The sequence below is a fragment of the Homo sapiens genome, chromosome 20 (assembly GCF_000001405.40).
Source record: "Homo sapiens chromosome 20, GRCh38.p14 Primary Assembly".
NCBI classification, from domain to species: domain Eukaryota; kingdom Metazoa; phylum Chordata; class Mammalia; order Primates; family Hominidae; genus Homo; species Homo sapiens.
The window spans coordinates 34386492-34398983 of NC_000020.11; the positions used below are offsets into that span (position 1 = coordinate 34386492).

The window sequence follows — 12492 nt, forward strand, 5'->3', positions numbered from 1 at the left end:
TTGACTTCATTAGGGTTTAGTTCTCTGAATACCACTATATACTTTAGCTCTTTGAACTCTGGACTTTCTGTCACAAGCAGTTTTTCTCCTTAGTTTTTTTGTGTCTTCTGAAATGTCATTTTGGTGGATTCTTTTAAGAAAATATAGGGCTATATTAAATTACTTAAAGGTTTTCTAAGTCACAATAGATGTGGCCTGTAAAAATATCTGATTATGTTGGGTGTGTTATTTCTGAAAATAAACCAAGCAAATTTCACAATATCCTGTTTAATAATTTCTCTATAAATAAGATACATATTTAAAATAAGGCTATAAATGTTTGTTGCTTAAGAGACAAGATATTACTGAAATTATCTTCTGAAGTATGTCTATCCCTTTCCACATTTTTGTTTCCACTGCCTTTTCAGTAAGATGTTAAGGTTAATTTTACCTCTGGCAGTGTTTTAGCACCTTCTTTCTATATTGGGCATTCTATCTGTCACATTTTTCTAGTGTAGTAGTAAACATTACTCAAAATAAATGATTTATAGGCCGGGTGTGATGGCTCATGCCTGTAATCTCAGCACTTTGGGAGGCCGAGGCGGGCAGATCACCTGAGGTCAGGCATTCGAGACCAGCCTGGCCAACATGGCAAAACCCCATCTCTACTAAAGATACAAAAAAAATTAGCCAGATGTCATGCATGCCTGTAATCCCAGCTACTAGGGAGGCTGAGGCAGGAGAATTGCTTGAACCCAGGAAGCAGAGGTTGCAGCGAGGGGAGATTGCGCCCCTGCACTCCAGCCTGGGCGACACAGTGAATGTCTGTCTCAAAAAAAAAAAAAAAAATTTATAAAGTGCTAAGTATTGACCCAGCTGGGCACAGTGGCTTATCCTTGTAATCCCAGCACTTTGGGAGGCCAAGGCAGGAGGACGACTTACTTGAGCCCAGGAGTTCGAGACTAGCCCGGGCAATATAGTGAGACCCTGTCTCTATCTCCCTGTAAAAAATTAGATGGGCCTGTGGTATGTGGCTGTTAGTCTCAGTTACTCAGGAGGCTGAAGCAGGAGGATTGTTTCAGCCCAGGTGGTTGAGGCTGCAGTGAGCTCGATCACTCTAGCATAGGCAACAGAGCGAGACCCTGTCTCAAAAAAAAAAAAAAAGACCCTGTTTTGAGTTTCTTTGTAACTGACAGACTAATAGGTAATAGAGTTTTAAAATATTGTTACTAGATTTTTTTTTTTCTTTTTTGAGATGGAGTCTCGCTCTGTCACCCAGACTGGAGTGTAGTGGTATGATCTTAGCTCACTGTAACCTCCGCCTCCTGGGTTCAAGCGGTTCTCTTGCCTCAGCCTCCCAAGTAGCTGGGATTACAGGTACCTGCCATCATGCCTGGCTGATTTTTGAATTTTTAGTGGAGATAGGGTTTCACCATGTTGGACAGGATGGTCTTAATCTCTTGACCTTGTGATCCACCCGCCTCGGCCTCCCAAAGTGCTGGGATTACAGGCGTGAGCCACAGCACCCAGCCATGATTTAGATTCAAACTGTATCTTCATTGGTTCCAGTCACAATGGTTTACAGTGCTAAGTAAAGCTATAGATTGCATACTGCTGTACTTGTGAAGGCTTTTTTTTTTTTTTTGAGACACGGTCTCACTGTGTTGCCCAGGCTGGAATGCAGAGGTGCAGTCACGGTTCACTGCTGCCTCAACTTCCTGAGTTCAAGCGGTCCTCCCAGTTTGGCCTCCCATGTAGCTGGGACTATAGGCATGCACCACTGCATCTGGCTAATTTTTAAATTTTTTGTAGAGATGGGAGTCTCACTGTATTGCCCAGGCTGGTCTTCTGAAGGCTTTTAGTTTGTTTGTTTGCTTGTTTGTTTTTAAATCTTGTTTGCTTGCTTTTCTTTTCTTTCTTTTCTTTTTTTTTGAGATGAGGTCTTGCTCTGTCGCCCAAGATGGATTGCAGTGGCCTTATCACAGCTCACTGCAGCCTCTACCTGCTGGTCTCTGGCGATCTTTGTGCCTCAGCCTCCCCGTTAACTGGGACAACAGGCACATACCACCACATCCAGCTAATTTATTTTTATTTTCTGTAGAGACAGGATTTTGCTCTCACATATCTGTCCAACCAATAAACAAAAAAGTTATGATACTCAGGGCAAAGTTTTCTCTAACTCCTCAAAAGGACTTGAATTTAGGACATCTTTCTTACTGAGACATACAAAGGCTTAAAAGTATGTATTACAATCCAAAACACTCACCACTGTCTAACATTTCTCCTCCAAATGAGAGCACTAATAGCCTATTCAAAAGAGTCTCTAATTATGAATGTGAAGTTACAAAGAATGTTTTTTTGTTCTTAGGTCTATGAAGATAACACAAAGGCAACAAGTGAAAACACAATGCATAAAGTTTCACTTTAGTCCCCTTATAACAGAAAACAAGAGATGAAGATAAGAGCACTTTTGCTGTCCTAGAACTTAAAATGAAAATCTAAGAGAGACCCATAATATAAATACAATCATCCCTTGGTATATGTGGGGATTGCTTCTAGGACCACCACATATAACCACGTCAGTGCATGCTCTGAAGTACGCCCTGTGGAACCTGCGTATGTGAAAAGTCCTTCCCATAGACTTGGGTTTCACATCCCATGAGTACTGTATTTTCAATTGGTGTTTTTTATTTTTATTTTTTATTATTTTTTAAAAAATTTTAATTAAATAGAAATGAAGTCTCACTATGTTGCCCACACTGCTTTCAACCTTCTGGGCTCAAGCAACCCTCCCTGCTCAGCCTTCCAAAGTACTGGGATTACGGACGTGAGCCACTGCTCCTGGCCTCAATCTGTGTGTGGTTGAAAAAAGGCTGCATATAAGTGGATCTGTGCAGTTCAAACCAGTTGTTGGACAAGAGCCAACTGTAATTAGAATTATAAAAATTGATGCCATGCTCTCTGTGTGAGTAACAATGCAGTAAGAATATGCAGATTTTAGTCACTAATTTTGACTTCCTGGGAAAGGAACTGCAGACTAGATGCTACAAAAGAGAAACACTTGAGGGTGAAAAAGATTAACTGTAAGAAAATGGGAAAGAGACTAAGAAATCCAGTTTCTTAGAAAAACATATTCAGTAGAAACTTAGGAACAGAAGTGATGTCTTGGTTGGCCATGAGATAGTAGATCCCTACAACCACTAGAAAGTGTCCATTAGGGACATTATCCCTTTAGGGTAATGTGCAGGTGGTCATGTTTCAGACTTTATTACTCAAAGTCATGACCACTGGGGAGGTTAGATAAGCATCTTTTTAAGGGGTTATCTATGTTACAGGCATTGTTTAAAGACTCTGCTGAAGAACACCTTGGTATGCAGGAATCAAACATTGGTCAGGGCCAGGCACTTTGGGAGGCCAAGGTGGGTGGATCATTTGAGGTCAGGAGTTTGAGACCAGCCTGGCCAGCATGATGAAACCCCATCTCTACTAAAAATACAAAAATTAGCTAGGTGTGGTTGTGGGTGCCTGTAGTCCCAGCTACTGGGGAGGCTAAGGCAGGAGAGTCGCTTGAACCTGGGAAGTGGAGGTTGCAGTGAGCTAAGACTGTGCCACTGCACTCAGCCAGGGCAACAGAGTGAGACTCTGTCTCAAAAAAAAAAAGAAAAAAATTGGTTAGCATGATGGTTTCACTTCAAGATGGCATCACTCTTGCATGCAACAGGCAGTTTTCCTACAACTGTCTTTAATTCTGCAGATACTCTGTCAGTCTTTAAAATGAAACTATAAATTATAGATTATCTACATTTATGGATGAAGAAAGTGTGGCTTAGAGAAATTCAGTAATTTGCTCAAGTTCACAGAGTAACAGTTCAGGAATGTTGATCTAGATCTGTCTGACTTCACAGTTGGCATACATAATTACCATGCTATAATGTCTTCTGTAATACATGGTATAGAATTGACAAGAATAATCTTTTTTTTTTTTTTTTTTTTTTTTTGAGATGAAGTCTAGCTCTATTGCCCAGGCTGGAGTGCAATGGCACGATGTTGGTTCACTGCAATCTCAGCCTTCCAGGTTCAACGATCCTCCCGCCTCAGCCTCCCAAGTAGCTGGGATTACAAGCGTGTACCACCATACCTGGCTAATGTTTGTATTTTTAGTAGAGACGAGGTTTCACTATGTTGGCCAGGCTGGTCTCGAACTCCTGACCTCAGGTGATCCACCTACCTTAGCCTCCCAAAGTGCTGGGATTACAGGCTTGAGCCACTGTGCCCAGCCTAGATTTAATCTTTTTTTTTTCTTTTTTGAGATGGAGTTTTGCTCCTGTTGCCCAGGCTGGAGTGCAATGGCGCAATCTTGGCTTACTGCCTCCCGGGTTCAAGCGATTCTCCTGCCTCAGACTTCCGAGTAGCTGGAATTACAAGCATCCACCACCACGCCCAGCTAATTTTTTGTATTTTTAATACAGACGGGGTTTCAACGTGTTGGCCAGGCTGGTGTTGAACTCCTGACCTCAGGTGATTCACCCGTCTTGGCCTCCCAGAGTGCTGGGATTACAGGAGTGAGTCACCACGCCCGGCCTAGATTTAATCATTTTAACCATGTATGCAGTTGTAAATAATAGAACTAAGAATCTGGCGCTCAGGGGAGAGGATGGGACTTGAAGTGTGGATTATCTATTTTTTTCTACTCTGTTTTATGCTGTTTTTAAAATTGTACAAGTCAACAGTGATACATGTCCTATTTTTAGAACTTCAAACAATACATACAAAACTACAGTTCCCTATGACCACGTACTTGAGTACACAGGTGCCCTCCTCCTGAATGGAATGTATACTTTTTCTGCGTTTATTTACAAGTATTTGTACCCATAGGAATATATAGTGTTTTAGTTTGCAAAAATAATATCATACTGTACATACTGATGGGGTGATCATTTTGTGATCTACCCCACCCCAACTCATGCATGTTGTTCTGCAGCTTTAAAGATGTTCTTGGGATCTCTCAATTTCAGTCATTAATAAGTTACTTATTTTGATACCTGCATAGTAATCTGTTCTGTGGTATGAATATGTGATTTAATATATGAATATGCCAATTGATAATATACATTATTTCTAATTTTTTTGATATTATACAAATAGTGATTTTTATTCTTTTCAAGAATTTAAAATGCTTGGTGAATTTTAGTTATGTAAAACTAGTATGTATATGTACATAAATTATTGAAATTACTAGGATGTTTTTGGCAGAGCACCTCACAATTCTACCATAATGATTCTCTGTAATTATCTGGAGAGTCATTGTTCTTAAAAATGTTTGCAGTCTGTGCTTTCATTAATCTTTTCTACATGAAGTTAATTTTAGTTTTTAAAATATACTTAATTTTTGTAGAGATTTAAAATTTTTTGCAACTTTGTAATTAATGTTAATTTATATTTAGAATAATTTATACTGTACTATTAGGGCATTTTCTTGCAATAAATTATTAGTGGAGATGAGCGACTGTTGATGGAGATGAGTACCTTTATCATGCAGAATATCAGCAGCCAGATATTGGACTTTTCTCACTGCCCCTTAATTTACTTTTTTAAATATTGTCGTTCTATGGCAATCAGGCTTTTGGATATTGAGGAGGAAGTAATAACTACATAATGTGATAATGATGTCTTTGAGGACCCTTGTCCATAACAAGCCATTTGAATCAGAATAATATCTTGTGCAATATGGTGTTAAGGCTTTTAGGTTACATCTCATTTCTGAATGTATTCTGGATGACTTCTATTGACTTTATGATGTTTACCTTTCATATTTAAAATAAGAGGGTTCTTTTAGCAGATTTTGGTTATAAAACATCTGAAATAGTGTAATTTAAATAAACAAGGTAAAGGAAAAAAATATATGTATTATGCCAAGAAAATGAGCTAGTCCTTATGGTTGAGACGAAATTTTAGCTTTGAGCATTTTTGTATGTAAGCACAGAATGAAGTAGGTTGGATTTTATAGGGTTCATCTCAGTAGGAATTATTGTTCTATTTCATTTTTGCAGAATTGAGAAGCCATCATAATTGTTTTATATTTAAACTTTTAAACAGAAACCTAAATTTGCATAAAAACTCAAGACAGCGTTTACAGTTTCAAGGCATTTTGTTTGCCTTATTGTATTTGTGTACTTCTTCCATAGTGCCTGGCAAACAGTAAGTGCCAAGTACATTTAGTTTGATTTTATTTTTTATTGTATCTTATTTCTTCTTTTTTGAGGTAGGGTCTTCCTCTGTTGCCCAGGCTGGAGTACAGTGGTGTGATCATAGCTCACTGCAGACTTGACCTCCTGGTTGGGGAGTGGTGGTGTGCACCAGTGGTCCCAGCTACTCAGGAGGCTGAAGCAGAAGGACCCCCCCAGCCCGGGAGGCGCTCCAGAACACCCCAGCTTGGGTGACAGAGTGAGAATCTTTCTCAAAAAATAAATAAGTAAATAAAGTTGCTTGGGACATGTTATATAGATGCTATTTAAAGCTATCTGGATAGGTAATATCCTCCAGTTTATAATCATCTGTACCCCATTGCGTGATGGGGTGATCATTTTGTGATCCACCCCACCCCAACTCATGCATGCTAACAGTTATGTATGCCTTTTCTCCAATTTATCTGCCTGCGTTTTGTCAGACGATTTTCAGCGAACCTTCACTGGGCAAAGGGGAAGTCTTCTTTTGGCCCCTGTATTACTAACAAGCATTGACTTCTAAATGGGTAATTTGGTCAGGTGTGGTGGCTCACGCTGTAATCCAGCACTTTGGGAAGTCAGGGTGGGAGGATCACTTGAGCCCAGGAGTTTGAAACCAGCCTGGGCAATATAGTGAGATCCTGTCTCTACCAAAAATTAAAAAAATTAGGCGAGCATGGTGGCACCCACTTATAGTCTTACCTACTGGGGACTGGGTAATATCCTCAAGGGAATGAGTGTAGATAGAATAGGGAACCAAGAACTAAGATCTAGGATATGTTAGCGTTAAGATAATGGAGAAAAGGAATCATCAGAGGATACTGAGAAGGAACAATCTGTGTGGTAGGACACAAACCTGGAGAATATATCTTGGGAACTGAAGGGAAGAAAGTAAAACATGGAGGAGGGGATGAACAGCCATGTCAGATTTTGCCAATAAGTTAGGTAGGATAAAGACTAGAATTGAAAATTGTGTTTAGTAATGTAAAGGCCTTTGTTACATGGTCTTCAGTAATAAATAGCCAGGTTAGCACTATTTATATATGTTTTTAATGGGAATTTTTGATGTTTACAGTGTCTCCTTTGCCATGTTCAGGTTTTCCAACCTATTGGTGGTATGTCTGACAGTGGATCACAACTTGGTTCAATGGGTAGCCTCACCATGAAATCACAGCTTCAGATCACTGGTAAGTTTTAGAAACATCGGCTGCTTTACTTTATTTTTCCCCGTATGATTAAAAAATAATCCTGAGAGGGCCAGGCATGGTGGCCCATGCCTGTAATCCCAGCACTTTGGGAGGCTGAGGTGGGCGGGTCACTTGAGGCCAGGAGTTTGAGACCAGCCAAGCCAACATGGAGAATACAAAATTAGTTGGGCATGGTGGTGCACACCTGCTGTCCCAGCTACTCCGGAGGCTGAGGCGTGAGAATCACTTGACTTTGGGAGGTAGAGGTTGCAGTGAGCTGAGTTTGCGCCACTGCACCCCAGCCTGGGTGATAGGGTGAGACTGTCTCAAAAAAAAAAAAAAAAAAAAAAACTTAAGAGAACAAAATATTTAATGGCTGTTACATGTCAGGTGCTCAATTAATATTTGCTGAATGAATGAATGAAGATATATAGATATGTAATTTTTATTGTAGAATATTCTTGGATATTTTACAGTTTTTTTTTCCTTCAACATGGGTACCTGGGTAGTTGCTAATTATGTTTGTTTGGTATTGTATTAACAGCTTTATTGAGATATAATTCATATCCCCTACAGGTTACCCATTTATTTATTTACTTATAACAATGACACAATCATGCAGCCTCCTGCTGTGGTGACTACAGTCGTGCACCACCATGCCCAGCAAATTCTGCAGTTTTTTGTAGAGATGGGGTCTCACTATAATGCCCAGGCTGGTTTCGAACACCTGGGCTTAAATGATCCTCCCACTAGGGCCTGACAAAAGGCAGATAAATAGGAGAAAAGGCGTACATCTTATTAGCATGCATGGGTAGGGGTGGGATGGATCACAGAATGATTACCCCATCATGCAATGGGGTACAAAATGGTTATATACTCTTCTTCATAGGGGAAAGGGAGATGGGGAAGTGTGGATGATTTTAGAGGGATGGTAAATGATTTTTAGGGGAATTCAGAGGGCTCGAAGAATGTACAATGGCCTGGGACAAAGTCTGTTTGGCCCACAGAATAGATAGTGGTTTATGACAAAAGTCTCTCCAGGTCCAGGTCTGTTAAAAGACTTCAGTCAGCCAGGCACGGTGGCTCACACCTGTAATCCTAGCACTTTGGGAGGTCGAGGTGGGCAGATCACCTGAGATTAGGAGTTTGAGACCAGCCTGGCCAACATGGTGAAACCCCGTCTCTATTAAAAATAAAAAAAATTAGCTGTGCGTGGCGGTGCACACCTGTAATCCCAGCTACTTGGGAGGCTGAGGCAGGAGAATCACTTGAACCTAGGAGGCGGAGGTTGCAGTGAGCCGAGATCATGCCATTGCACTCCAGCCTGGGCGACAGAGCGAGACTCCATCTCAAAAAAAAAAAAAAAAGACTTCAGTTTTTATATTCCTGCTATACAAGTTTAGTTATTGAAAACTCAGGGATGGGAACAAAGGTAATTGTAATTGTTTTCTTCTTTGGTGGATCTGGACTTAGGCAGATAAGAGAACTTCAGAAAACAACTTCATGCTGTACTTTGAGAGAAAGAAGATTGAGGGAGGGGAGCTGCAGGGGTCAGAGAGACCTTGAGAGACTTACTTAGTTCAGCAAGTCAAAGCACCATATTTTGGGATATCAGTTTCTGAACCCCAAAAGTACATTCACAGAGTTCAGCAACCATCACCACAATCAACTTTAAAATAATTTCGTCCTTCCAAAAAGAAGCCCTGTACTCATTAGCAGTCACTCTCCATTTAACCCATCCATCCACAAACCCAGGCAACTCCTGATCTTTCTGTCTCTAGATTTGCCTATTCTGGATCTCGCATATAAATGGAATTGTACAGTGTGTGGCCTTTTGTGTCTTCTTTGGGCAGACTGTTTTCAAAGTTCATCCATGTTGTAGCATGTATCATTACTTAATTCCTTTTTTTGCTAAATAATATTTTATTGTATGAGTATACGAAATTTTAAAAATCCATTCTTCAGTTGAGGGATGTTTGGGTTGTTTCCACTTTTTGGATTTTATGAAAAATGCTATAAACATTTGTGTACAAGTTTTTGTGAGAATGTATGTTTTCAGTTTTCTTGGGTATATACCTAAGAGTGAAATTCCTAGGTTATATGGAATCCATGTTTATTAGCATTTTGAGGAATTCCAAATTATTATTATTATTATTTTTTTTTTTTTTTGGAGACAGAGTTTTGCTTTGTTGCCTAGGTTGGAGTGCAGTGGTGTGATCTCGGCTCACTGCAACCTCCGCCTCCCGGGTTCAAGTGATTCTCATGCCTCAGTCTTCTGAGTAGCTGGGACTACCGGCACGCACAACCATGTGTAGCTAATTTTTGTATTTTTAGTAAAGACGGGGTTTCACCATGTTGGCCAGGCTGGTCTCGAACTCCTGACCTCAGGTGATCCACCTGCCTCGGCCTACCAATGTGCTGGGATTACAGGCGTGAGCCACTGCACGGGCCCAAATTATTTTTAAAAGCAGCTGCACCGTTTTGCATTCCCACTAGCAATATATGAGGATTCCGATTTCTCTACATTCTTGCCAGTGATTATCTTTTTTATGATAGCCATTCTAGTGGGTGTGAAGTAGTATTTTACTCTGTGTGTGTGCGCGCGTGCATATGTTTTATCCATTTAATTTTTTTTTTTTTGAGACCAGGTGACAGTCTGCTCTGTCACCCAGGCTGGAGTGTAGTGGTGCAGTCATGGCTGACTGCAATCTCTAACTTCTAGGCTGAAGTGATCGTGCCACCTCAGCCTTCTGAGTAGCTGGGACTACAGGCATGCACCACCCTACCCAGCTCCCTATTGTGGTTTTGGCTTGTACTCCTTTGATGGCTAATGATATTGTCTTTTCATGTGCTTATTGGTCATTTTTGTATCTTTTTTGGAGAAATGTCTGTTCACGTCCTTTGTTTGCTATTGTAAATTAATACCTCTGTCGCTATTGTTAATTAATATCTCTGTCTTTATTTCTTCCTCTAATCATTTCATGTATCACTTTCAGATTAATGTTTTTAATATGCCATCCAATATGTTTCATTCCTGCTCAAAAACCTTAGGTACTTCTCTTAGACTATGGTATAGAGTTTCTTTAGTATGAGCTAAGACCCTTCACCCTCTGTCTACATATGGTGTCTTTGTAGGTTTTTTGTTTTTTTTTGTTTGTTTTTTTGAGACAGAGTCTCTGTCGCCCAGGCTGGAGTGCAGTGGTGCAATCTTGGCTCACTGCAACCTCCGCCTCCCAGGTTCAAGCAGTTCTCTGCCTCAGCCTCCCAAGTAGCTGGGGTTATAGGCGCCCGCCACCAAGCCTGGCTAATTTTTGCATTTTTAATAGAGACGAGGTTTCACCATCTTGACCAGGCTGGCCTTGAACTCCTGACCTCAGGATCCACCCACCTCGGCCTCCCAAAGTACAGGGATTACAGGCGTGAGCCACCGCGTCCGGCCTGTAAGTCTTTATATGTGAACCATTTGTACTAGCTAGAATGAGTCACTGGATTTTCCTCAGATGTGTATGTATTTCTATCACACAATGAAAACCTCAGTCTCTCTCCCTTTAATTTGATAGCATTTATTGATTATAGAACAATTATCATCCCCTGTATTTTAGTTTCAACTATGCCTGGCTTATAGCTTCTTCTGGATTATGAATAGGTTAGGTCACAGATCATATCTTAGCATTATTATTTTCCTCAAAACCTAAAGGTGATTGAATATAAAAATAATACTGTCTTAAGGTAACCACATCATAGAATTTTTTCGGATTTCCTTCACTAACTCTGGTATCTTTCCTTAGCAGTATCTGTTTCTTAAAGAAAGATATTACTATTTCTTAGTTAAGGCCAGATTCCAGTTTTTTTTCCCCACCCCTCATCCTCAATCTAGCTTGAGTAGCTGACTTATATCAGACCAGAATTCTTATGACTTCTTTTTGGCAGCTTAAAGTTGAAAGCTTTTATTAGAACAGTCCTTTAAAACATTCTGTACTTTTTCAGATTACATAAGTAATATACATTTTATTTTTTACTGATTTAAAAAAATAGTAAATTATTCTCAGAGACAATGATTAATAGTTTTTTTCTTTGCATAAAGTGTCTTACTTGCTATCATCGTTATTGAATTTTTTTTTTTTTTTTACTGTGATGATAAACACTAATTGCACCTCAAAAAGTCGTAATCCATAGCCATCTCAGATTTTTTTCTTTTTGAGATGGGGTCTCACCCTGTCGTCCAGGCTGGTGTGCAGCAGCGTGATCATGGCTCACTGCAACCTTGATCTCCTGGGGTCAGGTGAGCCTCCCACCTCAGCCTCCTGAGTAGCTGGAACTACAAGTGTGCGCCACCACACCCGGCTAATTTTTGTATTTTTTATAGAGATGGCGTTTTGCTCTGTTGCCCAGGCTGGTCTCAAACTCCTGGGCTCAGGTGATCCACCCACCTCAGCCTCCTAAATTGCTTGTATTAGAGGTGTGAGCCACCTCACTCAGCCACATCTCAGATTTTTAAAATCTTGGGTCTAAAATATTCTTTTTCTTTTTTTTTTTGAGACAGTTTCCCTTTCGTTGCCCAGGCTGGAGTGCAATGGCGTGATCTCGGCTCACCGCAACCTCCGCTTCCCAGATTCAAGCAATTCTCCTGCCTCAGCCTCCCAGATAGCTGGGATTACAGGCACCCGCCACTATGCCTGGCTAATTTTTGTATTTTTAGTAAAAACGGGTTTTCACCATGTTGGTCAGGCTGGTCTTGAACTCCTGACCTCAGGTGATCCACCCGCCTCTGCCTCCCAAAGTGCTGGGATTACAGCGTGAGCCACCGCGCCTGGCCTTAAATATTCTCTTTTTTATAAATTTTTTTCTTTTTCTTTTTTTAATTCATTGCTTGCTAATTGGGTCTAAATATTCTGAGAATGCTCAAGTGTAGGGCAAAAAACAAACACACCATGAATAATGGATAATAGTTCAGCAAACATTATTAGATATGAAACAGAGAACATAAGATAAAAGACAGAAGTGCCAAGTTTAATAGAATCAAATGCCCTTCATAATTCATTGAGTTACTTCTTTAGTTTTGATGCTAGAATGCTTAGAACTAAGTATTTTGCACAAATCTC

The 12492-nt window shown here is 40.2% G+C and overlaps 1 protein-coding gene across 13 annotated transcripts in view, besides 1 other annotated feature; it reads left to right on the top strand.

Moving 5' to 3' along the window:
* Positions 1-12492, top strand: part of ITCH (itchy E3 ubiquitin protein ligase) — a 148501-nt gene that overhangs the window by 23219 nt on the left and 112790 nt on the right. For 6 of the 13 annotated variants that reach the window (NM_001257137.3, NM_031483.7, NM_001257138.3 and 3 more), the window contains one exon: positions 7300-7390. The exons of 1 other annotated variant lie outside the window; for it this stretch is intronic. In NM_001257137.3, coding sequence (NP_001244066.1) covers positions 7321-7390 — 70 coding nt within the window. In that variant the 5' untranslated portion in view covers positions 7300-7320. Of the gene's footprint in view, positions 1-5439; positions 6424-7278; positions 7391-10257; positions 10831-12492 lie in introns of those variants that run through there. 6 more of the 13 variants (NM_001324197.2, NM_001324198.2, XM_047440534.1 and 3 more) reach the window with 4 other exon arrangements.
* Positions 9356-9457: a silencer, noted in NCBI's record as "fragment chr20:32983653-32983754 (GRCh37/hg19 assembly coordinates)". NCBI's record gives its function as "represses an EF-1alpha promoter that drives an FKBP-Casp9 reporter gene in an ReSE screen in phorbol 12-myristate 13-acetate-treated (for megakaryocytic differentiation) K562 erythroleukemia cells {active_cell/tissue: K562(+PMA)}" and the evidence as "EXISTENCE:reporter gene assay evidence [ECO:0000049][PMID:32094911]".